This window comes from Homo sapiens, chromosome 2 (assembly GCF_000001405.40).
Source record: "Homo sapiens chromosome 2, GRCh38.p14 Primary Assembly".
NCBI classification, from domain to species: domain Eukaryota; kingdom Metazoa; phylum Chordata; class Mammalia; order Primates; family Hominidae; genus Homo; species Homo sapiens.
In genome coordinates, this window is record NC_000002.12 from 47920152 (window position 1) to 47947363 (window position 27212).

A 27212-nucleotide genomic window follows, 5' to 3' on the forward strand; every position below is an offset into this window, starting at 1 on the left:
AGCCTAATGATTTGTTTACTCATCTGACCCCAAACACTGACTTCTCCCCCACCATCACATTAAAGCTTCTGAAAAGCAAGGACTTTTTTAGTCGTCTTTGGTTCCATGATGCCCAGCACAGTGCCTGGTGCATAGTGTGAGCTCAGTGAACGGAGGCAGTTCCTTTGGTTACTATCTGATATCATCTTACCCAAAGCTTCAGAATAGAATGATACATAAAACCCAAAGTGTTTCTCAACCCAAGGACAGTCTGGCCTCTCTACCTAGAAAGGGGCTTGGAAAGAGATATCCAGAGACATGTTGAAGATGTTTTATAACAGTTTGTATCCAGTTAAGTCTTTGAAAGTAGATTCCAAAGTGAATTCTGAAGGCAGAATCAAAACTGCCAAAAATATTCAAAATGCTGCTTTTCCTTTCTGGTGTTTTTTGTTTGTTTGTTTTGGAGACGGAATCTTGCCCTGTTTCTTAGGCTGGAGTGCAGTGGTGTGATCACTGCTCACTGCAGCCTCAACCTGCTGGGCTCAAGTGATCCTTGAACCTTTGCCTCCTGAGCAGCTGGGACTACAGGCACACACCACCATGACTGGCTAATTTTTTTATTTTTGTTTTTTTGCAGAGACAAGGTCTCACTATGTTGCCCAGGCTGGTCTTGAACTCCTGGCCTCAAGCAATCCTCCCACCTTGTCCTCCCAAATTGCTGGAATTACAAGCATGAGCCACCATGCCCAGCCAAAATGCCTCTTTTTTTTTTCCTGTTCTCATCTTCAAACACTGTTCTTACTCCCAAACTGTTAAAAGATATTTGTTTCACTTATTTAGTCACATAGTACCCACAATTTTTATGGTGTTTATTCCAGTTAGAGAATAACGATGTGATTATTACATGAAAGTGGCCATTATAATAGTTCAGACTCACAAACACTAGTTATTGGCTTTTACAGAGTGAAGCAAGCCACCAGAACTAAATACCAGGTGCTCAGTAAACTTCTTGTAATACCTCATTCCTCTTTACAAAAAGCTCATATGACCTTTATGTAGAGAATTTGTTTTCTGTTTAATTTATTTTTTCCATTCTGAAGCAGATTCATCCATTACAGGAAAGGAGCCAATTATTGGGCTAACACAGTAACACCTAATGACTATACCCTCCGATATTTAGTCTCAAAACATTTTGCATTTCTTAACAAATAGAATTAAAAATATTTTAACATTGCACTAAAATGGGATTAAATATAATTTAAAGTGTTCAAGGAGGTGGAACACTCAGCCCTATTTCTCAAGCAGGCTAACTGAAAGGTCATGGGCTTTTTTTGCCTGTTATGTTAACAATAAGCCAGGAAAAGTTTCAGACGTTTGAGAGCCCACCCTAGTAACTTCTTGTAGGTTTCTGGTTATTTATGATGATTTGGGGTCAGAGCCAGACCTAGACCAGTTTCCTGATGTCATGTATCCTTGTGCCCCACGCCTGCATGACCCATGGCTGCCTTCAAGCTTCCTTTCTCTGCTTTTTATATTCTTCCCCCATGTCCTTGAGCTTGAATGCTACACCTTTGTGACCAGAGCTGAGGGCCACCATACTATCCCTACATAGTGACCCACATGTATACCTTTCTGTGACTCCTGTCACTCCCTAAAGTCTTCATAAGAATAACTTTCATAACTCTAATGCATACTTAAATATTTTTAGTGTTTTCTCAATTCTAAGACATTTAGTACATACTTTTTTTCACATTTCGGTGTTCCTGAAATTAGAATTAACTTTAGAGTCTTTTTATTTGTCTCCTAAAAAAGTGATTACTACATTTTTGGCCAATGCTATGATCAAAAGTATCTTGGAACTGGAGATATGCAATATTAATGTACTTTACTGTAAATAACTAGTTTTTTCAAGAGTCAGAAAATGTTGCCTCTCATGGAGATTTTAGTCATCATGCAGCAGAAAAAGGGTTTTAGGGGTATGAATATATGGATAGTTTAGGTAAAACAAACTAACTAGTTGCTCATTGGTTATCTGGATAAACTGTTGTCCAGATAATTACCTTGGCTTCTTTATACCCTTGCATTTTCTAATTTGCGGATCACATGCAAAGAAAATATGATTCTAAATGTCTCCGTCATACAGAAGATAAGGGATCTCAAACTCTCTACATTAATGTCCTAAGGCCTAATGTTTGTTTGTTTGTTTGTTTTTTGAGACAGTCTCGCTCTGTTGCCCAGGCTGGAGTGCAGTGGCGCGATCTCGGCTCACTGCAAGCTCCGCCTCCCGGGTTCACGCTATTCTCCTGCCTCAGCTTCCCCAGCAGCTGGGACTACAGGCGCCCGCCACCACGCCCGGCTAATTTTTTTTTGTATTTTTAGTAGAGATGGGGTTTTACTGTGTTAGCCAGGATGGCCTCGATCTCCTGATCTTGTGATCCACCCGCCTCGGCCTCCCAAAGTGCTAGGATTACAGGTGTGAGCCACTGCGCCTGGCCCCTGAGGCCTAATGTTTCCTAATGTTTGTATTGAACATGAGGCTGGGATTATAAACAGAATTATCTACACAACATTCTTTTTGTTTGTTTGTTTTTTCAGACAGTGTCTTGCTCTGTTGTCCAGACTGGAGTGCAGTGCTGAGATCACAGGTCAATGTAGCCATGACCTCCTGGGCTCAAGGGGTCCTCCCACCTCAGCCTCCTGAGTAGCTAGGACTATAGGCATGCACTACCATGCCCAACTAATTTTTATTTTTTTTTGTAGAGACAGGGACTTACCATGTTGCACAGGCTGGTCTCAAATTCCTGGCCTCAAACAATCCTCTCGCCTCAGCCTCCCAAAGTGTTGGGATTATAGGTGTGCGCCACCACTCCTAGCACTTTACAAAACATTCTTGATGTGGATGACCAGTTATCTCGAATCACCCCTATTGTCTTCCCTGAAAGGATTGTAACTTGATCTCATCTATTCTTGCTAAAGAGATGATGGCTGTTTTGGGGGTAAAAAGGGGGTACAGTATCAACACAATCATGAATATACATGATTCCTGCTGAGGGTAAAATATTCAGAGATATCTGAGATCCAGATATCTCAGATATGGATCTAATATCCAGTAAAAGTATACACTGTTTTTTAAAAATATTTTGGGGAAGACAAATTTAAGTTAAATAAAATTATTATACCGGGAATCCTCACCCAAACATTCTTAGTTGTTAAAATTAAGAATAAAATGGAAAATCTGAGAATAACATGCATGTCCCTAACATTTGCTGTACCCAGGACAAGAGTTCAAGTAGAGGGCTACATACAACAGGTCTAAACCATTAAGATTATAAATGAAGCTAACAAACCATTAAATAAATACGTTCTATCCACCTTCCTTGACAAATTGTCAAGTATACCTTTATGATGACAAAATCTTTTTTTTTTTCTTTTGAGACAGAGTCTCACTCTTGTTGCCCAGGCTGGAATGAAGTGGCGCGGTCTTGGCTCACTGCAATGTCCGCCTCCAGGGTTCAAGCGATTCTCCTGTCTCAGCATCCTGAGTAGCTGGGATTACAGGTACCCACCACCATGCCCAGCTAATTTTTATATTTTTAGTAGAGATGGGGTTTTACTATGTTGGCCAGGCTGGTCTTGAACTCCTGACCTCAGGTGATCTGCCTGCCTCGGTCTCCCAAAGTGCTGGGATTATAGGCGTGAGCCACTGTGCCCGGTCTCAAAATTTTTAAAAATATGTGTAAAGCAATGGTTTTCATATAATTGAAAGTCAGCTAGATAGCAAAAATAATTGGACTTAGTTATTATTGTGCATTTGGGTGTTCCATTGATGGACTGGTAATGTTGGATGACAAGATAAATATGCACATAATTCATAAATTATATATTAATTACATAATAAAATGTATTTTCTTTTTTAGCAAAATAATCATGTTGTTATAATTCAGACTTTCATGTACTTTGTGTTCTGTTGACAATAATAGCAAAATAAACAACTTTTCTTGAATCAGTGTACTTGAAGGGGATTAGAATATGCCACCAAAAACATGCTACTTTGGCATAAGGATTTATTTTGAGCTGAAGGCAATTAAGAAGCAGCAAACACAAAAAGAGTTCTTTGTCCTCCTATCTTCCTAAAATAGGGCATAAATTTCCCTTTGTGAAGGTATTCTCCCTCCCTTTTTCCATACCAGCAGGAGAATAACATCACTGGAGATAGAAAGCACTGAAATGGATCTGCACAAACTTTACTAAAATAACCCTTATCCTCCATTAGTTTCCCCCATATATTTTCCTTCTCACAATTAACAGCTCTTAGAAGACAAACCCCTTTTCACAATTTATTACTCTTTGTTAAAATGATATATAAGTCCCAGGTTATAATCACTTCTTTAGGCCTTCACTTCTTTTCTATGAAGGCCTCCATGCATGTAAAAATTAAACTGTTAACATCAGATGAAGTCTGTATGTCTTTTCTCCTGTTAATCTGCCTTTTGGCAGTTTCATTGGCAGTCTCCAGTTACAGAACCTGTGAGGGTAGAGGAGAATATTTTTTTCCTCTTCCATATGCTTCTTAAATTTTTGTTTAACATTTTATTATGGGAAATTTCAAACATTCACAAATGTATATAATAGAATATAAAGAACTCCTATGTACTTACCATCCAGCCCCAATAATTATTAACTCATGGTCAATGTTGCTTCATTTATATTCCCCAAGTTTCTCTACCCAATTACTTTTTTTTTTTTAATTGAGGCACAGTCTCACTCTGTTGCCCAGGCTGGAGTGCAGTGATGCCATCTTGGCTCACTGCATTCCTGCCTCCTGGGTTCAAGTGATTCTCCCACCTCAGCCTCCTCAGTAGCTGGGATTACAGGCGTGTGCCACCACACCCAGCTAATGTTTGTATTTTTAGTAGAGATGGGGTTTCACTATGTTGGCCAGGCTGGTCTCGAACTGCTGACCTCAAGTGATCTACCTGCCTTGGCCTCCCAAAGTGCTGGGATTACAGACGTGAGCCACTGTGCCCAGCCTTCTCAATTACTTTGAAGTAAATCCTAGATATCGTAATTTTATCTATGAGCATATCAATATACATTTCTAGCAAAGAAAAACTCTTAAAAATTTTCCTTAATAATATTTTCACATAAAAAAACTACTGAAGCTGGGCCGGGCATGGTGGCTCACACCCGTAATCCCAGCACTTTGGGAGGCTGAGGCAGGCAGATCACCTGAGGTCAGGAGTTTGAGACTAGCCCAGCCAACATAGGGAAACCCCCTCTCTACTAAAAATACAAAAATAAGCTGGGCGTGGTGACATGTGCCTGTAATCCCAGCTACTCAGGAGGCTGAGGCAGGAGAATCACTTGAACCTGGGTAGTGGAGGTTGCAGTAAGCCGAGATTGCACCACTGCACTCTAGCCTGAGTGACAGAGCAAGACTCCATCTAAAAAATGAAAGAAAGAAAGAAAGAAAAAATACTGAAGCTGGGCACAGTGGTGTGTGCCCATAATCTCAGCTACTCAGAGACTGAGGTGAGAGGATCACTTGAGTCCATGAGTTTGAGGCCACTCTGGGCAGCATAGTGAGATCTTGTCTCCAAAAAATAATCCTTAATATTAGATGTTTTCAAAATGAATTTTTTTTTGAAGTAAAAGCCAGTTTATAAAGAAAGTAAAGAAATAAAAGAATGGCTAATAGACAAAGTAGCCCCGAGGGCTGCTAGTTGCCCATTTTTATGGTTATTTCTTGATTTAAAAATGAATTTCAATGGAATTGGAAATATTTTATTCTGTGGAGGCAGTAGCAACAGGCATTGTTAATAGAATGTCTAAATCAATACTTACATTTGGAAATGAACAATGAATTTTGCATATCATATTCAGACATTGTAATAGGACTGTAATAATGATAATTATCATAGAAAATATTATAAATTTTTAATTTTATCACATTAATTCTATTACTTATATTGTGATCTTTTTTTGCCAGCCCTTAAAGCAATATCTATTTATATAGTATTAAGTTGTTCTTTCAATTTTTCCAATGCTGGGATATCATAAAGAAAAAGAGAGAACAATATGTGGTTCAATTTGTTCAAATCTCTCTTTAGGGAGACTATACTGCTACCTGGAAAGAATAGAAAATAATATGTAAATATAATACATATATACAGATTTGTATGTGAACTTTATAATCATGCAATCATTTTTGTTTTCTTGTTTCTATTTTGTGGAATATTTCATTGTATATGCTATATTTAGTATCTTTCAATTTAGAAAAATCATTTTCTTTCAAAATTTAAAAAGTACTTTACTTTTTAAAAATTGTGCTTTTCTTTTGTTCTTTTATGTTTTTCTTTCATTTCATAGAACAGCCAAATGCAATAAAAAGTATTTTAAATGATTTAAAAAGCGAACTAGGCAAACTTAGGTAAGTCTGCATATTTTGTAAGCTTTTGCTAACATTATTAATAGCAAGCAATAGTCCATACCAAATAGCTGTGGTTAGCCCAAAATCAAAAGTATTTCCCACCATAGACCACAATTCCTTAGTTTTTTTTGAAGATCCTCTATTGTTTCACACAACTGTCCTAGCGCAGCTCACTATCTTGTTTAGGTTAAACTAACTGCTCTAACAGCATTTAAATGACATCTCCATTGTTAACCAAGAGTGGCTATGAAATTATGTTTGATATGTGTTTAAACAAATTGACCTATTTTGAGGCATATATAGAAAATATTATATATAATCACTGAATCACTTCAAAGAATGTCATTGCTATTGTCAGAGTTGAGGCCATGTCTCCTAGGAACATATTGACAGATATTTAATCAATTTTTGGGCATTTGTGTTTGTGCTATGCAGGGCCTTCTGAAGTACAAGGCTCAGGGCAGGCGTCCCTCTTGCTGAAGTCCAAGAGTGGCATTGCAGACCAATAATAAATATAAGTATTAATAATACCGTATAATATGCATGTGCTACATTTTTTGAAGTGCTTCCATACATGTGATTCCTTTTGATCTTCATTATAACCTACGGACTAGATTAATTAGAGATGAGAAACAGAGGTCTAGAGAGGTTAAGTGATTTATCTAAAATTACACATCTAATTAGTGGTAGAAATAAGAGTAGAACCTAGGTCTCTCCAGACACAGGTCTTCCTGTTTTTTTTTGTTTTTTTTTTTTTTTTTTTGAGACGGAGTCTCGCTCTGTCGCCCAGGCTGGAGTGCAGTGGCACGATCCCAGCTCACTGCAAGCTCCGCCTCCCAGGTTCACGCCATTCTCCTGCCTCAGCCTTTCGAGTAGCTGAGACTACAGGCGCCCACCACCAGGCCGGCTAATTTTTCGTGTTTTTAGTAGAGACGGGGTTTCACTGTGTTAGCCAGGATGGTCTCGATTTCCTGACCTCGTGGTCGGCCCTTCTCGGCCTCCGGATTACAGGCATTAATTTTTTTTTTTTTTTGAGAGCGAGTCTCACTGTCGCCAGGAGTGGAGTGCAGTGGCAAAATCTCGGCTCACTACAACCTTTGCCTCCCGGGTTCAAGCGATTATCCTGCCTCAGCCTCCCAAGTAGCTGGGACTACAGGCTCATGACACCACGCCCAGCAAATTTTTGTATTTTTCGTAGAGACAGGGTTTCACCATGTTGGCCAGGATGGTCTCAATCTCTTGACCTGGTGATCCTCCGGCCTTGGCCTCCCAAAGTGCTGGGATTACAGGCATGAGCCACCGTGGCCCGCCAGGTCTTCCTGTTATACTATGCTATACATAATGCTTCTGAAACAAAGAGACTTAATAGTTGGACAGGTTGCATCCCAACATTTTTTATTCCTTAAAACCCCTGGGATTTTAGTAGAGAATATAAATATTGGACAATGAATGAAAAGAAAGCCTTATGCTCTTTCATATCTTTTCAGCCCACGTGGGACCAATATATATATTGACCAATGTTTCAGAAACTAGAGATTTATCTTCTTCCAAGCAAAGATTCATTTGAGTAATACAGAATAAATCTTCCAAAAGGTGAGGTTCACATTCTATAACCTACTCATAAGGTACTAAGTACAACTTTGGGAATATAAACAGTATCTTCTAAGATCCAGAGCTTTTTGGAATGGTTACCTCATAGTTTGATATACTTAGAAGTACGCCTAGAAGTACAAAACATTAGCATGAAAATGAATAGAATCCTCTTTTCTTGCTGATTCCCCTGTCCAGTTTGCTCAGGCCTACCTCATTGCCTCTACTTTTTGCTCATACAGATTCAAGACTTCAAATGCTTACAAAAGTCCTTTTTGTTCTCTACTTTTCAGCACCCTTGAATTTAGAATGCGTCTTATAGTCAGTGGCATCTTAGATGACATAGAATATAGCAAACTGTTAATGATGGTTGCCTCTGGGGAATTCTGTATTGTTTACACCTTCTGCAATAAGAGTACTTTGGGAGGCCAAGGCAGGAGAATCACTTCAGCTCAGAAGTTCAAGACCAGCCTGGGCAAAATGGTGAAACCCCATCTCTACAACAAATACAAAAACTAGCCAGGTGTGGTGGTGCACACCTGTAGTTCCAGCTACTTGGGAGAATCTCTTGAGCCTGAGAGGTTGAGTTTGCAGTGAGCTGATTGCGCCACTGCACTTCAGCCTGGGCGACAGAGTGACAGCCTGTCTCAAAGCCAAAAAAAAAAAGAAAAAAAGAAAAAAAATTTAAATTTGCATTAGTTAATTTTTATTTTAAATAGAAAATAAAAAGAATGCATTACTTTTATAATGAAAACAAATTTAAAAAATTTTTGACACAAAATCTTAGGTGGTTTATGTACCTTGTCTCTTAGTACTAAAAGAGTACTGAGACTGTAATAACAGTAATTAATATTTTATGAGGTTTTATATTCATAATGGATTTTATAAGCCCCTACATGTTAGCAATTGGCATGATACTCAGAGGTAATCTTCACAGCACCTAGCTGTGAATTATCCATGATGGAAACATTCATTAGAGCTCCTTGGTACTCACCATATTGTGCTGCAACTATTTAGTCAGTTTTCCCTCCAGAGTGAGAGCTCCTTGAAGGCAGGAACTGCCTACTCATTTTTGTGTCCCCAGGGCCTAACAAAGCCCATCATGTTTGTAAAATAAAGGAATGAATGAAAGACCTGTAGGTACTCAATATTTTTTTAAATGTTATTTCCACTTATGCACTTTAACAGTTTGCCACTGGAGAGGGCATTTATTCTCTGCTAGGACATGGCTTGTTGGCTTTTCATTTGTATATGATGAATGGATAGGCACAAGCAGGAAATGTTATTTTTTAAAAATGTCTCTACATTCTCCCCTTGGGCATATTCAGCTTTAGCTTTCTGTTGTCAAATCTGTAAATCTACATAATTTTTATGTAAGGAGGTAGAGAAAAACCACTTTCTAGTTTGCTACTAAATTAAATATCTTACTGAGACAAATTGTAAATAGGAGAAGTATGAAATTTTTTTTCTTATTATTTAACCCTGAAGAAGAAATTTTGCCAATGATTTCTTTTCTTTTCTTTCTTTCTTTTTTTTTTTTTAGACAGAGCCTCCTTCTATTGCCAAGGCTGGAGTGCACGATCTCAGCTCACTGCAACCTCTGCCTCCCAGGTTCAAGCGATTCTGTTTCTCGTGCCTCAGCCTCCTAAGTAGCTAGGACTACAGGCGTGCACCACTATGCCTGGCTAATTTTTGTATTTTTAGTAGAGACAGGGTTTCACCATGTTGGCCAGGCTGTTCTCAAACTCCTGACCTCAAGTGATCCTCCTGCCTCAGCCTCCCAAAGTGCTGGGATTACAGGCAGGAACCACAGCACCCAGCTGCCAATGATTTCTTAACTGGACTTTAAACTGTGGTATCATGTTTATGTGATACCATAGAGGAAGCCTGTTCAAGGGGTATTCTTAGCTCGTAAAGCTCCATAGTAAAGGGTTGAGTATAATTTTTTTAGGATCTGGTACATGAATAAAAATAAAAATACTTGGCAACACATGTAATGGGAGAAAATATTTGCAAATCATCTGTCAGATAATGGATTAATATCCATAATATATAAAGAATACCTACAGCTCAACAACAACAAAACCAACTCAATTTAAAAATAGGCAAAGGTCTTAATAGAAATTTCTCCAAGAAGAAAAACCGATGGCCAATAAGCACATGAAAAGACATTCAATATTACTAATTATTAGAGAAATACAAGTCAAAATTACAATGAGATGCTACTTCACAACTATTAGGATGGTTGTTATTAAAACAAACACAAAATTGAAACCAGAAAATAACAAGTGTTGGCAAGAATTTGGAAAAATAGGACACCTTGTGGGATGCACTGATGGGATTGTAAAATGGTGCAACTGTTGTGGAAAAGAGTATGGCAGTTTCTCAAAAAAATTAATCATGGAATTACCATATGATCCAGAAATTTGACTACTGGGTATGTACCCAAAACAATTGAAAGTAGTGACTTGAACAGATATTGGTACATCAATGTTCATAGCAGCATTATTCACAATAGTCAAAAGGGGAAAACAATCCAAATATCCATTGACAGATGGATGGACAAAGTATGGTATATATAGTTAATGGAATATTTTTCAGCCTTAAAGAGAAAGGATATTCTGACATATGCTATAACATGGGTGAACTGTGAAGATATTTTGCTAAGTGAAATAAGCCAGCCACAAAAGGACAAATATTGTATGAGTCCACTTATATGAAGTACCTAGAGCAGTCAAATTCTTAGAGACAGAAAGTAGAATGGTGGTTTCCAGGGGATAGGAAGAGGGAGAAATAGGAAGTTATTGTTTAATGAATTTACAGTTTGGGAAGATGAAAAAGCTATAGAGATGGATACTGGTGATGGTTGCACCACAATGTGACAGTACTTAATACCACAGGACTGTATGCCTAAAAATGGCTAAAATGGTGAATTTTATGTTAAAAATATTTTGCTACAATAAAAAAGTAAAAATAGGCTGGGTGTGGTGCCTCACGCCTGTAATCTCAGCACTTTGGGAGGCCGAGGCGGGCAGATCACCTGAGGTCAGAAGTTTGAGACCATCCTGGCCAACATTGTGAAACCCAGTCTCCACTAAAAATACAAAAATTAGTCAGGCATGGTGGTGTGTGCCTGTAATTCCAGCTACTTGGGAGGCTGAAGCATGAGAATCGCTTGAACCCAGGAGGTGGAGGTTGCAATGAGCCGAGATCACGCCACTGCAATCCAGCCTGGGCGACGGAGTGAGACTCCATCTCAAAAAAAAAGTAAAAATAAAAGTACTTGGTAGTTACTTAGCACTTTACAGTTTGTAAAGCACTTTTCACTTGCATTATTTGTTCCATACAACTCGGCAAGGTAGGCAAGTCAATTATTATCTTCATTTTACAGATAAGAAAATGAAAGCTCATTTAGTCTAAGTGAATTGCCAAGAGACACTAAGCTAAAAAGTGACAGGGTCAGAATTAAGACCCAAGACCCTAGTCCAGTGCTCTTTTCTCTCAACCTGCCTTTCACAGAAGGGTTCCCGGCCGGTGACAATTGACAAACTTTCACTTGCAAGTGCACATGTAAAACCTGATTCCAAAGAATGGTCTTGGAAGGGTTTTCTGGAGAATATGGGCAAAACAACAGGCACAGAAATCATTAACTAGGTGTACTTTTCCCCATCACAACAAAAATGTTGTGAGGGGGAAAACACAACAGATGGGAAATGCTCAATAGCGCTTTTTTTTTTTTTTTTCCTTTTGAGACAGAGTCTCACTCTGTTGCCCAGGCTGGAGTGCAGTAGTGCAATCTCAGCTCACTGTAACCTCTGCCTCCTGGGTTCAAGCGATTCTCGTGCCTCAGCCTCTCATGTAGCTGGGATTACAGGCGTAAGCCACCACGCCCAGCTAATTTTTGTATTTTTAGTAGAGATTGGGTTTCACCATGTTGGCCAGGCTGGTCTCAAACTCCTGACCTCAGGTAATCTGCCTGCCTCAGCCACCCAGAATGCTGGGATTACAGGCGTGAGCCACCATATCTGGCCCTCAACAGTCGTTTGTTAATTCACTATTATAGCTCTAGTTCCTTTATAACAGTGTTTTTTGTTTTTGAGATGGAGTTTTGCTCTTGTTGCCCAGGCTGGATTACAATGGTGCAATCTTGGCTCACTGCAACCTCTGTCTCCTGGGTTCAAGCAATTCTCTTGCTTCAGCCTACTGAGTAGCTGGGATTACAGGCATGCACCACCATGCCCAGCTAATTTTTGTATTTTTAATAGAGATGGGGTTTCTCCATGTTGGTCAGGCTGGTCTCAAACTCTGGACCTCAGATGATCCACCCACCTCGGCCTCCCAAAGTGCTGAGATTACAGGTGTGAGCCACCACACCCGGCCATTTTTTAACAATATTTAAGGGACAATATTTTGCTGGACTAGAATTTTTATTTTGTCAAACATTCCTCAAAGTTCATTTGCAGGCTGTCAGATGATTCTTGAGAATGTTTTTATTGTTGTTAAAGAGGGGTTTTATAGCTGCCTTGTAACATAATTTGATCCTTATCCGATAGCCTTTTTGAAAAATAGTTATGATTTAAAAAATATGGAGACATGAAAAATAACAAAACACGGTTTTATCGTATGACCATGTGTTTGCATTGTTAATTCAGTCCCGTAAAATCTTTCCAGTAAATTAATTACAGCTAAGAATCAGAAGGGACCATAAAGCAAAAACTGCAGAGGAGTCACAGCGAGCTGTTCTTTAAAAATGGAATGCTGATTTTTATTTTTAAGTATTCAGTGAACATTCCTGAAGCACATCCTCAAGAATCTTAATCATATATTGTTGGTGGACTATGAGGTTTTTGTTTTGTGTACTGAAGAATATGTGATATAGAATTTTAATATATTCTACTGTTTTCAGGTTATTTTTATGGCAGGCTGAGAGCTGAAAGTTTGTGGTGGCAAAAACTTTGGAAACTTAAAATGTAATAATTATAGAAAGAAGGCCGGGCATGGTGGCTCATACCTGTAATCCCAGCATTTTGGGTGGCCAAGGTGGGCAGATCACCTGAGGTCAGGAGTTTGAGACCAGGCTGGCCAACATGGAGAAACCTTGTCTCTGCTAAAAATACAAAAATTAGCTCAGCATGGTGGTGGGTGACTGTAGTCCCAGCTACTGAGGAGGCTGAGGCAGGAGGATCACTTGAACCTGGGAGGCGGACGTTGCAGTGAGACAGGATTGTGCCACTGCACTTCAGCCTGGGTGACAGAGCAAGGCTCTGTCTAAATAAAATAAAATAAAATAAAAGATAAATAAAATAATTATAGAAAGGCAAAGATCAAATACTTCAAAATTTTAATAGTGAGTTTCTTGGAGTATGGAGTTGATTCTCCACTCCATGTGACCATACTTCTTCTTTTCAGTATTTTCCATATTTTCTAGATGAGTATATCTTACATCTATAATATAATAAAATACGTGGGGCATGGTCACTCACACCTGTAACCCCAGCACTTTGAGATGGAAAAGGATTGCTTGAGGCCAAGAGTTTAAGAACAGCCTGGACAACATGGCGAGAACCCCCGTCTCTACAAAAAATAAAAATTATTACCTGGGTGTGGTGACACCTGCCTATGGTCCCAGCTACTATGGAGGGTGAGGCAGGAGGATTGCTTGAGCCCAGGAAGTTGAGGCTGCTGTGAGCCATGTTCATGCAACTGCACTCCAGCCTGGGAGACAGAACAAGACACAGTCTTGAAAAAAAAAACAATTTTATTTTAAAATAATGGCAATTAGAGGATCATGCAGGCCAGGTCACTGGGCAGGGTTTTGTTTATTTTCTTAATTAAAATTAACTGAAAGGGGCCGGGCGTGGTGGCTCATGCCTTTAATCCCAGCACTTTGGGAAGCCAAGGCAGGTGGATCACCTGAGGTTGGGAGTTCGAGACCAGCTTTACTAACATGCAGAAACCCCGTATCTACTAAAAATACAAAATTAGCCAGGCGTGGTGGTGCATGCCTATAATCCCAGCTACTCGGTAGGCTGAAGCAAGAGAATTGCTTGAACCCGGGTGGCAGAGGTTGCAGTGAGCCGAGATTGCGCCATTGCGTTCCAGCCTGGGAGACAAGAGTGAAACTCCATCTCAAAAAAAAAATAAATAAATAAATAAAATAACTGAAAGGAACCAAAAGGTAAATAATTTAGTCTCCAGCTGTCAAATGAGTAAATATATTATTAATTTCGTTTTATAGAAGAAAAGACTGAGGCTCTATAAAGTTAAGAGCTTGGGCTAAGATCACCCAGCCAGTAAGCCACAGAACAACAGTAAACTTAACCTTCGGCCCACTGGTGGAGACACAGTTTAGGGGTGAAAATTGGTAGTTCGTTTTACTGTACAACCTATGTCCTGCCTGGTGATTCTGAGCAGGGTAGGAATATTTTAAGCCAAACATCAGTACACCATGATGATCTCTGGTTTAATAAGCTTGCATATACTTTTTTTGGTGGGGGTGGACAGGGTCTCTCTCTGTCACCGAGGCTAGAGTGCAATGGCCTGATCATGGCTCGCTGCAGTCTTGACATCCAGGGCTCAAGCAGTCTTCTAACCTCAGCCTCCTGAGTAGCTGGGACTACAGGCGTGCACCACCATTCCTAGCTAATTTTTCTATTTTCTGTAGAGATAGGGTTTTGCCATGTTGCCCGGGCTGGTCTCAAACTCCTGGGCTCAAGCGATCTGCCCTTGCCTCAGCTTCCCAAAGTGTTAGGATTATAGGTGTGAGCCACCGTGCCTGGCCAGCTTCAGTATAATGAAAGAAGCTCTTATATCACAGAAACATGATTCATTTGCTCTGAAGTATCTTTCTGTTTAATGATTTAAGATCTTAGTTCATGGGCTGCAAATGGATCATGCCTGCAACCCCAATGAGTTTCCACACGTTTTGCAAAATTAACATATCAATACATCTCATCATCCATGTGTGCATTTATATAGTACCTATCACAAGAGATATCTTGCCAATACTTTTGGGGCCCTTCAAGTCATCCTCCATCCCCTTTCAGTGAACGCCCCATTTATCCTCTTCTCTTGTTTAAGTTATTGCTACATCCTATGATTGTAGGTCCCAGTTTAGACTATAAATCTCACTTCCTTAAAGTTGTCCTCTAGTTCTCTTTCTATGACACATCAAATTAATAATGATATCTACCATTTATTGAGTGCATATCATGTACTAGTGACTTTATACCTAATATTTCTTTTCTTTTTCTTTTTTTGAGACAGAGTTTCACTCTTGTTGCCCAAGCTGGAGTACAATGGCGCGATCTTGGCTTACTGCAACCTCTGCCTCCCGGGTTCAAGCAAGTCTCCTGCCTCAGCCTCCCTAGTAGCTGGGATTACAGGCAGCTGCCACCAGGCTCAGCTAATTTTTTGTAGTTTTAGTAGAGACAGGGTTTCACTATGTTAGCCAGGCTGGTCTTGAACTTCTGACCTCAGGTGATCCACCCATCTCAGCCTCCCAAAGTGCTGGGATTACAGGTGTGAGCCACCGCACCCTACTTTTTTTTTTTTCAGGGTCTCACTGCAGCCTCAATTTTGTGGGCTCAGGTGATTCTCCTACCTCAGCCTCCCAAGTAGCTGGGATTACAGGCCTGCTTCATCACGCCTGGCTATTTTTTTTTTTGTATTTTTTTGTAGAGTTGGGGTTTTGCCATGTTGCCCAGGCTAGTCTTGAACTCCTGGGCTGAAGCCATCCTCCTGTCTCAGCCTCCCAAAGTGCTGGGATTACAGGCGTGAGCCACCGCACCTGGCCACTTATCTTCTTTATTGTTTACACAAGATCATAAATTTCATGAGAGCAGGGATTTTCATGTTTTGTTCACTACTATACTCCTAGTACCTAGAACAGTACCTGACACAGAGAGTGCAGTAAATATTTTTGGAAAGAGTGAATTAATGAAAACATCTCACTCAAGGGCCTCCTCCATGAAACCTTTCCTGCAGCACTCAAGCTGAATTACTCCCTCCTTCCTCTGTGCCAGTGAACATCTATTACCGCATTTACTACAGTGAAGATCAATGACTGGTTTGTGGCCACATGGCGGTAGCTCAGGCCTGTAATCCTAACACTTCCGGAGGCCAAGGCAGGTGGATTGCCTGAGCTCAGGAGTTTGAGACCAGCCTGGGCAACATGGCAAAATCCCATCTCTGCTGAAAATACAAAAAGTTAGCTGGGCGTGGTGGTACGTGCCTGTAATCCCAGCTACTTGGGAGACTGAGGCAGGAAAATCGCTTGAACCCAGGAGTGGAGGTTGCAGTGAGCCGAGATCTCACCACTGCACTCCAGTCTGGGCAACAGAGCAAGACTCTGTCTCAAAAAAACAAAAACAAAAAAAAACAAAAAAACAACTAAACAGATTGGTTTGACATATCTATTTGCCCTTCTAATCTGAACTTGGTTTATTTGGGTATCCCAGTGTCTAGCACAGATCTTGGTACATGATAAATACTCATTTAATGTTTCCTAAGTGAATGAATAATTGCTCAACATTAAAAAGTATTTCTATTTTTTAAGAAGATGCTTCTCAGAGATTGATTTAAACAATAAATGATACTTAAATTGGAATTTGATTGAAAACAACAAAAGCAATCATGCTTGCTTTAGACTGTAAAACCACTGGAGGCAGTCTTTTTTGTTTGTTTCTTTTTCCTTTTTGAGACAAGGTCTTGCTTTGTTACCCAGGCTGGAGTACAGTGGTGTGATCTCGGCTCACTGCAGTCTCGACCTCGTGGGCTCAAGTGATTCTCCTGCCTCAGCCTCCTGAGTAGCTGGGACCACAAGTGTGCACTACACCATACCCAACTAATTTTTCTGATTTCTAGTAGAGACAAGGTCTCACTATGTTGTCCAGGCTGGTCTTGAACTCCTGGGCTCAAGTGATCCCTGCCTTGGCCTCTCAAAGTGCTGTGATTACAGGCATAAGCCATCACACCCAGCCAGGCTCTGGGTTTTATTGAGGCTTTAGCACCATTTTCCACATGTCACAGAACATGACAGAGAGTGCGCCTGGTCAGTTACCAAGGTGCAGTGTTTACCTGGTGGTCTCCCAGCTACACAGCTTGCTTACATCATAAATGAAGACTACTGGTGTGTAGAGAAAATCCCTATTTTTATTTGTTTGTTTTCTATCATGACCTGCAAGCCCGGCTAATTGGTGAAGTGGAAAAGAATAAAGATCTTTAATCACTGTTTGAATGTAAAATGCCGTTATTGGTTTCCTGTCTTTAAATAACATTTTTCCATCAGTGTCCAGGAAGTAGTCACATGTCAACTAAATAAAACTCTTTCAGTTGTTTACTAAAAACAAGTATTTACTGAGAGATCATTGATTAGGGTCTGGCTGGGGCAGTCAGAGAGAGCTGATGGTGGTAGTTGGGTGGGAGTGGGGGATGCTGTAGTAGCAGATTTGGAAGGAAGATTGTGCAAGGAAGGAAGCCGCAAAAAAAAAGCCAGGTCTCAGGCACGTCAGCATTCTAGTCAGGGGTCACTAGTGAAATTATATTGGGGTTAAACGATGTATTTGATAATTTTGCATTCTCTTCTAAGTGATTTTGTGTACTTTTCCTTGAGTTCGATGAAATGCAAGTAAGGTAGTGAGGACACTATTTCCAATTTACAGGTGGAGAAAATGAGACAACAAGAGGAGAAGTGGTGGCTTGCCTAAAGTCAGTGACTGATCAGGATGAGAACTGGGTACCTGTTGCATTGGCCCTTTCTACTAAACTATCTTCTGCTTGCTTCAGGGTTTTCTTGTTTTGTTTTGTTTTTGTTTTTGTTTTACTGTTGTTGCTGTCATTTAATTGCATGTGTATAGAGAAAGAACTAGAAATGTCTTATATGGCGGTGATATGCAGTGTCTGCTTTGTGGTCAAGCACTGACATAGATTCAAAGAAAGGTAAAACACAGTCCTAGTCCTCCAGATATTTATAGCCTAGTTGAGAGAAAGACAATATACACAAACAAAAAAAATGAAACAATATTGTAAAGTGAAAAACAAGTTACAAAAGTGTTTATGCTAAAAATACTTATTAATTTTTATTCATTTCATTTATTTCATTTTGCTAAAAATATTTATATGATCAGTAGTGGGAACACAGACTATTCACTAATCTACTCAGAAGCAAGGACATATGGGTTCTTTATTTTTCTTAACTGATCTAATCTTCTCCCACCCTTCTAATTAAAGTTATCTGAGTCTCCTCTAGATTAAATAATCTCTGTTGATTTAACAGTCTATTTTGATTTAAAAGATCTCTATTGGGTAAATATTCAGTCAATTCAAAATTCAATTCCCTAACAAGGCTCTCTCGCCCCTCCTCCTCCTCTTTCCCAAGCTGGCTTCTATGCCTGGGGGTACTTACCAGTCCTCCTGGCCTTGGAGTCAGGGAGGTGGGGGTTGTTGAGGGGTGGGGGTGGGGGCAGAGCTGGTTTTCACGGTGGGAGGCTAATCTGGTCGATGTGCACTAGCTGCTTCCCAACTGAGGCTGGGCTAATCTTTATTTTTTATTTTTTGAGACGGAGTCTTGCTCTGTCGCCCAGGCTGGAGTGTAATGGCACAGTCTCGGCTCACTGCAACGTCCACCTCTTGGGCTCAAGCGATTCTCCTGCCTCAGCCTTCCAAGTGGCTGGGATTACAGGCACCTGCCACCCCACCTGTCTAATTTTGTATTTTTAATAGGGATGGGGTTTCACCATGTTGACCAGGCTGGTCTCAAACTCCTGACCTCAAGTGATCTGCCCTCCTCGGCCTTCCAAAGTGCTGGGATTACAGGCATGAGCCATCGCGCCCACTCTGGCCTAATTTTAGATTCCCCTGGAGGGGTCCCTTCTACCACACTGCCTCAGTCTCCCAAGTAAACTGGGAGCCAGTTTAGGATTGCTATTCAGCCTCATCTGTCTAGCCTCTCCCACTGTTGCTTTGTCACTCCTAACCCTACCCTCATTCTGGCCTGGAATCTTCCTGAGATCCAGTTTCCTCCCGGATTTCTTTTAGGGAGTGAGGCAAAGACTCCTTTACCTTTTAACGTACCCCTTAATCTTTCCAACATGATTTCCCCTTTCAGGTATTCAGTCCAGAAAGTGGCAGTCAGAATATATGTGTCTATCTGGTTCCCCTTTCTGGATTTCCTTCTTTTTCACCATAATCCCATAAGCCAAAAGCTACAACCTCCTGGCACAGTACACTTCCTACATCTTGATATTTCTCTACTCCTGGCTTTTAGTAAAACTATGATTTAGTTGATTGGTTCTGCCTCTTCTTATGTTAATGGGAAATAAAGTCATTTTAAACATTATTTTCTCTGTTCTCAAAGTTTAGCTTTCAGAATTTGTTTTTTTTGTTAGTTTTTATATCATAATCATAAACTTAACTCTGTAATCCAGCTAGACATGGAAGGGAATAAGATAAATATGAAACTCAAAGAACTGCAGTGACAGCACAAAGATTATAGGATTTTACAAGCAAATGGGGTGGAGGGGTGCTCTCCTGAGCTACAGAAAGAATGGTCTGGTGGCTATGATAAAACACAGGTCAACTTTATTAGAGTTGTCCATAGTCAGTAATGGTGATCTTCTTTCTGGTCTTGCCATTCCTGGACCCAAAGTGCTCCCTGGCTTCCATGAAATTTATGCCCTCCTTTACCTTTCCAAGACCACATGTTGCCATCCAACCACTCAGTCTTGGCAGTGTAGATTAAAAACTGGGAACCATTTATATTGGGTCCAGCAGTTGCCATGGACAAGAGGCTAGGACCTGTATGTTTCAGGAGGAAGTTCTCATCATCAAATTTCTCCTGTAGATGGACTTGCTGCCAGTGCCATTAGGGCGTGTGAAGTCACCACCCTGGCACAGAAACCCTGGAATAATTCCGTGAAAGCAGAAACACTTATAACCAAATCCTTTCTCTCTAGTACTCAGAGCACAAAAGTTTCTGCTGTCTTTGGAAATTTGTCTGCAAACAGCTCAAAGGAGACGCAGCCCAAGGACTTGCCATTGACCACAGTGTCAAAGAACTCAGTTGGCTGGTGCCAGGGGACTTTGGGCAGCAGCATCTGCAAAGCACTCACAACTCTTAATGTTTGCTCAGAAATCTTATTCTTGAAGTAAAATCTGGATATTGGCTCTTTTTCCACTCTGCATTTCTGCTATAAGAAAAAAGGATGCTTCATATAGAATGAGATGTGGTAACATACAAGGAAGAGCAACAGAGAAAATCACAATAATATAGTTCAAAAGTATTTTCCCTGTTATGTATGCATAGAAAAATAACCTGAAAAAATATAAACCAAAATGTTAATAGTAGTCTTCTTTGGGTGGTGGTTTTTCAAGTTGTTTTATTCCTTATATCCTCTTGGACTTTTTGTTTTGTTTTGTTTTTGTTTTTGTGGGTTTTTTTGGTTGTTGTTTGTTATTTAAAAATATGATGTCACCCAAGCTGGAACCCCTGGACTCAAGCAGTCCTCCTGTATCAGCCTCCCAAGTAGCTGGGACTATAGACACATACCACTGTGCCCAGCTTTATCTTCTTGTATTTTCTGAATTTTAAAAAGTATATATATATATGTGTGTGTGTGTGTGTGTGTGTGTATAGTTTTGTAAACATATACATATAACTATATATATATATATAGAGAGAGAGAGAGAGAGCTTTGTAAACAGAAAAGCCAGTAAGATAATATCCATTGGCTGAGGTGGAGTCAGGGAGTTTAAGCAGCATGGACCTATACATAGAACTATCTCAAGACTGTGCCCCCAAATTAATTGCCAAATAAGTGACTGAGCTATAACTGTGAGGAATCCTTTTTGAATAACATCTTTTTTCTTCTTTTTAAAAACTGAGATATATTTCATATATGATAAAATTCAGCCTTTAAAATTGTACAACTCAGTGGTTTTTGGTACAGTCACAGAGTTGTACACCACTACCACTATCTAATTTCAAAACATTTTCATTACCCCAAAAAGAGAGCCCATGTCCATTAGCAGTGACTCCCCTTTCTCTCTTCCCTTATCCCCTGGCAATCACTCATCTACTTTAGTTTCTTTGGATTTGCCTATTCTTGACATTTCATGTAAATGGAATCATACAACGTATGGTCTTTCACGTTTGCTTTCTTTCACTTAGCATAATGTTTTCAGGGTTCATTCATGTTGAGTCACATTTTTCTTGATCTCTTCTGAAAATGTTTTCCCTCGGTGCCCCAGTAATACTCATATTGGTCCCTTCACCTTTGCTGTACAGTCTATATGATGCAAAAATAAGTTAGACTACCGTTTTTTCCAAAGTTGCATTGCCTGTTCTATGGATAGGCTCAGTGGAACAGAAATTAATCACAACGAGCCACCAAAAAATTATATTTGGCTTTGGAATACACCATAATACTGGAGGGGAAGTGGGGAAAAAATCAGTGGTAGTGTTAGGCCCAGTGATTTAGGTTCCTTGGAATCTAAGGTTGATATTATTAAAAGCTTATAGGAAACAGTACAAGTGCATGCTAAGGATCATGGTGTACAGACTGGATTCCACATTTTATTATGGATAATAAACTCTCAGGTGGATATTAGCAACATTGGACAAAGAAAATATGTGTATCCTCTTGAATCTTTCTTATTTCATCATATTTGTTAGTACTCTTAGATGTTGGTCATGCAAGTACGGAATGAAGGCCAGGACTAGGATCCCCAATCCTCAAGTTTCTTGTGGTTCTACAGGATAAGAACACAAGGGCCACTCCGTCAGTGGTATATAATCTTTTGGGAGTCATAGACTTGGTCTTTTGACTCTCCGATGAGAGTTATGACCCCTTTTCAGAAAAATATTACTTATAATGTCCAAGGATGTGCAAGCCTCCCAGGCATGCAAGGTATCCACAGTGTCTTAGTCAGCTTGGGCTGCTGTAACAAAATACCATAGATGGGATTGCTTAAACAGCAAAGATTTCTCACAGTCCTAAAGGCTGGGAAGCCCAAGATCAAGGTGCCAGCAGATTTAGTGCTTGAGGGACCTCTTCCTGGTTTGCAGACAGACATCTTCCTGAAGTATCCCAGACGGTGGAGAGAGAAAGAGAGGAGAGCTAGCATAATTGGTAGAGGGATCTTGTGTCTCTTCTTGTATGGGTACTAATCCCATCAGAAGGGCTTCACCTTCATGAACTAATCTAATTCTAATCATCTCCCAAAGCCCCACCTCCAAATACAACCACAATGGGGACTAGGGCTTCAACGTCTGAATTTTGGGAGGACACAAAATTCAGTACACAACACACAGATAGCCCCCAGACTGAGAACTTCTGCTTTAGGAAACTTCCCCTCTTTATCACTCACTAGAGTTTCAACTCCAGGTCACAATTTTGTCTCTTGTTTTGGTAGCTGGATGGGACAACACAGCCTTTGAAAACCTCTTGACCCTATGGAGGAGCCTATATATCCTCCCTTGAATCTTACTCTAGAGGCAGGAGGCACCGCTAGGTGCCTCTTCATTATACACCATCCAGACGAGGTAAAGGGGAAGAAGATACTGAAGAGCAAGGAGGCTGAGAATTTTGACATCATCCCTTTATATGGTTACCATATGTTCTGCATGTACACTTGATTCTGTCTGTGCTCTTCATCAGTGCTTCCATCCCTTGAGAGTAGAGTGAAGTAGGGGAAAGCGTTAGTCCAGTAGTGTGGATTGTAGAAAGGCTCTTGGTAAACAGTGGATGCCACCAACCAGATCCATTAATAAATTGAAGGCAGATTCAAGTTCGACAAGAAGGCAGTGACCCTGGAGGATGGGGGAAACATCTGGAGGACATGAACTTGAACTTAAGCAGCAGATCTTTCTCAATGGACAGCTCAAGTCTTTGAATTCCCTTTGTTGCAGGGTCTGGCAAAATCAAGTTGGTTAATTTTTTTTTTTTAAGAGACTGGGTCTCTGAGTGTGGTGGCATGATCATGGCTCACTGCAGCCTCAACCTCCCAGGCTCAACTGGTCCTCCTGCCTCAGCCTCCCGAGTATCTGGGACTATAGGTGCGTGCCACCATGCTCAGCTAATTAAAAAAAAAATTCATTGTAGAGATGGGGTTCTCACTATGTTGCCCAGGCTGGTCTTGAACTCCTGAACTCAAGTGATCCTTCTACCTAGGTCTCTGAAAGTGCTGGGATTATAGGTGTGAGCCACCACACTTGGCCTCAAGTTTGCTAATCTTTAAAGCATTATATAAGTTAAGCATTTGTTTGTTATTGTTCCAGGGAAGAGACAGGGCATTTTCTCAAATAAAAAGAAGGAGGGATTCTGTTTTCTTAGTGTCTGCTTTGGTTTGTCCTATTTATATGTAGTCCTCTTCTACCTTACCTTAACTTGGCTTCTTGGAGTGGCTGGATGGATTTATCATCCCATCTCCTTGGTAATCAAGTTCAAAGATTCCCTCTTCATTCTAGCTCAGAGAAGAAAATGCAGGACCATGTTATTTGCAGGAGACTCAGGCTGGGACCAAATCACCAACTGACCTTGTCCTGAATATTGAGTTATAGGTGATGCTGTCACAAGACACAGCAGGACAAACAACTTCTAATGAGCTCTGTTGTCCAAAGATGCTATTTTAAATTACAAGATGTTACTATTATTATTATTATTATTATTATTATTGAGACAGGGTCTTGCTTTCTCATCCAGGCTGGAGTGCAGTGGTCTTATCTCAGCTCACTGCAGCCTCAACACCCCGGGGCTCAGGTGATCCTCCCAACTCAGCCTCCCAAGTAGCTGGGACTACAGGTGTGCACCATCACGCCCAGCTAATTTTTGTATTTTTGTAGTGACAGGGCTTCACCATGTTGCCCAAGCTGGTCTCAAACTGCTGGACTCAAGTGATCTGCCCACCTTGGCCTCCCAAAGTGCTGAGATTATAGGCATGAGCCACCACACCAGGCTGAGATATTATTTTTAGTATAAATAAACTTGATAACGCCCATCAATGTAAAATCTCTCTTGACCCTATCCCAAGAGGAGTTGTCAAGGAAAACAGTTATTTACATTTTCCTAAGTTTGGTAATCATTTTTTAGTCCTCATCTTACTTGGCCCATCAGTAGCATCTGACACAGTTTATTACTGTCTTCTTGAAATACTCTTTGCACTTGAGTTTGGGGACATCTTGCTCATCTGGTTTCCTCCTATTTTATGGCTGTTTCTTTTCTAATTCCTTTATAGTTTCTCTTCATCTTCCTGAGTCTAAACACTCAGTAATTTGTTGAAAATTCTGGTAGTCCCTACCCAGATAAATTCTGATTCCATTGATCTGGGTTGTTGCTCAGGCTTTTCTCTCTCTCTCTCTCTTTTTCTTTTTTCTTTTTTTTAAGAAAAAGCTCCTTGGGTGCTTAGATTTTTAAGAGCAGCCAGGATAGAAACTTCTGATCTATCTGTTGACAATATTAAAGTTTATATCTCTACCCTGTACCTCTTCCATAAATGCCAGAATCTTCTATCCAACTGCCAACTTGACATTTCTACTTGAACATCTAATAGCAAGCAGGCTGAGAATTTTGAGAATTGAATAGGCTTCTCAAACTTAACCAAAACCAAATTCCTGATTCCCCCACACCACACCTGCTTCTCCCACAATCCTCCCCCAAAACTTTGGCATCATTGTTGACTCTTCTCTTCTCCATTCTACACTCAAACCATCAGCAAATTTTGTTGGCTGTCTTCAAAATACATCCTGAATCTGACAGTCTTTCAACACCTCCACTGCTGCCAGCCTGGCCCAAGCCACCATTATCTCTCACCCAGATTATTGCAATGGCCTCCTAATCTCTCTGCCTCTGCCCTTACCCTTATGCAGTCTTTATACTAGTCAAAACAAATCACTTTATTTACCTGCTTGACATTCGCCAACTGGCTTCTCCTGTCACTCTGAGAAAAACTCGCAGTCCTTAAAATAGCCCACAGGACCTGTACAATCTGCCTCTCAACACTCACCTCTCTCATCTCCTTCCACACCCTTCCTACTCTGTGCTGCAGTCACGCTGGCTGCTTTGCTCTGTGAACATGCCCGTGATGAGCATGTTCCTATGCCAGGGCCTCACTGCAGTCTCTGAAGCTTCAAGTGGTTAACCTGTCCAAGATCACACAACTAGTCAGTGGCAGAGCTGGGATTGATTCCAACCCACCTCTGATTCTAAATTCAGTGTTTTAATTAGCGTACCATATGGCCTTTCTACTGTAAACAATATTCATTCAGTCATTTACCAATTGCTGTTCCGGGTCCTAAAGGATATAGTAACTGACAAGACAAAGCTCTTAACTTTGTGGAGCTCATATTCTCGTTAGTGGAGGCAAACAATAAATAAATTCAAAACGTGGTACAGTAAGTCTTCACTTAATGTGTCCACGAGTTCTTAGAAACTGCAACTTAAGCAAAATGATATATAACAAAATCAATTTTACTATAGACTAATTGATGTAAACAGGAGTGTACATCAGTTAAGTTCCCATGGCATATTTCTGGTTACAAAAACATCACCAAACTTTCATTTTTTATTTATATAAAAATAAATGTTTACAAAATAGAGATGGTGTCTCACTGTGTTGCCCAGGCTGGTCTCAAACTTCTAGGCTCAAGCGATCCTCCCTCCTCAGCCTCTCAAAGTGCTGCAATTTTAGGCGTGAGCCACCGTGCTCTTCCCAAACTTTTACATAAGGACCAAAACACTTCTGATGTTAAAGATTGAAATAAATGTGAGCTATACATACACTTAAGAAAGAATAAGAACAAGTAAGACATTTACTCAGTTATTCCAGTTCAGGGTTGCTGGTGGCTGGAGTCCATCATGGCAGCTCAGGACACTGGTGGGAACCAGCCTTGGACAGGACCTCATTCTTTCGCAGCAAACACACACACACACACACACACACACACACACACACACACGCTCACTCAGACTGGGACAATTTAAACATATCAATGAACCTAACATGCACATCTTTGGGATGTGAGAGGAAACCAGAGTACCTGGAGAAAACCCACACAGACATGGGGAGAACCTGCAAACTGCATACAATGACCCAGGCTGGGAAACATTTTTTTTTCTCATTCATGTTGCAATGAAATGACATTGAAAGAAATTATTCAAGGACCTGATGTATAACGATGGTGTTACATGCTATGGAGAAAAATAAAGCAAGGCAAGAGAGAAAGAGAGATAAGAAGGGCAGGGCAGGGGGTGCTATTTTATTAATCTGTTGGTAGTCAGGAAGCCCTCACAGTAAGACATTTGAGCAGAGACCTGAGCAGAGAAGAAAGTGCGGGAATAAGCCATTAGGGATAGAGAAGGAGAAAAACTCAAGTTAGAGAAAGCCAAAGGAACGCACATTTTCTGTCAATTTATTTTCAATGTAAGTATTAACATACTGAAATATTTCTTTTTTTCTTTTTTTTTTTTTTAAGAGTGAGCAGCAGCAAGATTTATTGCAAAGAGCGAAAGAACAAAGCTTCTACAGTGTGGAAGGGGACCCAAGTGGGTTGCCCAATATTTCTAAACTATCTTGGCTCACCTGTGTTTTGAATATTTTTGGAAATAGTGTGAACAGATTGCTCTTAGCAAGACATGCTTGTGATTGAACAGCTGGTAGGGACTTACACAAGCATCTGGAGCAAAGTCTCTCTGGCCTACAGCAGCATGTATCAGGTGGCTGAGAATGTGGGCTCTAGAGTTAGACTGCATGCATGAAACGCCCAGCTCGACTATGTGTACTGTTTGTATATCTAGGTTAATTTACGCCCCTATTCTAAGCCCAGTTCCCAAATCTATAACGTGGGGTGATCACAGCAGTTTGATTTTCAACCGTATACATCTATGCTTTGTGTGTTCTGATTGGTCATATCAATTGTTAATTATTTTCAATATCATCCCTTTATATGAGGATTTACTTCATGGGAGTTCATTGTAATAATTAAATGAGGGAAATACTCGTTATATTTATTATTATTATTATATTTATCATTATCATTATAGTCTAAATCAGGAGTCAGTAAATTATGGCCTGTAGGCTAAACCCAAGCCCCCTTCCATCTTCGTAATCTTTGTAGGTAAAGTTTTATTTAGGGACTCAGCTATGCCCATTCATTTATATATTGTCCATGGCTGCTTTCACACTGCAAAGGTAGAGTTCATCAGTGAAGATGAAATGA

At 40.3% G+C, this 27212-nt stretch overlaps 2 long non-coding RNA genes and 1 pseudogene across 2 annotated transcripts in view; 1 reads left to right on the forward strand and 2 right to left on the reverse strand.

Moving 5' to 3' along the window:
- The first annotated feature begins 6347 nt into the window (after positions 1–6347).
- On the forward strand, positions 6348–17735 carry LOC105374592 (uncharacterized). The gene is made up of 3 exons (XR_940074.3): positions 6348–6409; positions 7897–8002; positions 17662–17735. It is a non-coding gene; the product is annotated as an uncharacterized LOC105374592 (long non-coding RNA).
- On the reverse strand, positions 19383–20064 carry PPIAP62 (peptidylprolyl isomerase A pseudogene 62; annotated as a pseudogene).
- The window catches only part of LOC105374591 (uncharacterized), a 62688-nt gene continuing 57712 nt past the window's right edge, over positions 22237–27212 (reverse strand). Inside the window, exons 4-5 of the long non-coding RNA XR_001739454.2 lie at positions 23380–23461; positions 22237–22808 (exon numbers count right to left, since the gene is read on the reverse strand). This is a non-coding gene — a long non-coding RNA (uncharacterized LOC105374591). The remainder of the gene's footprint in view (positions 22809–23379; positions 23462–27212) is intronic.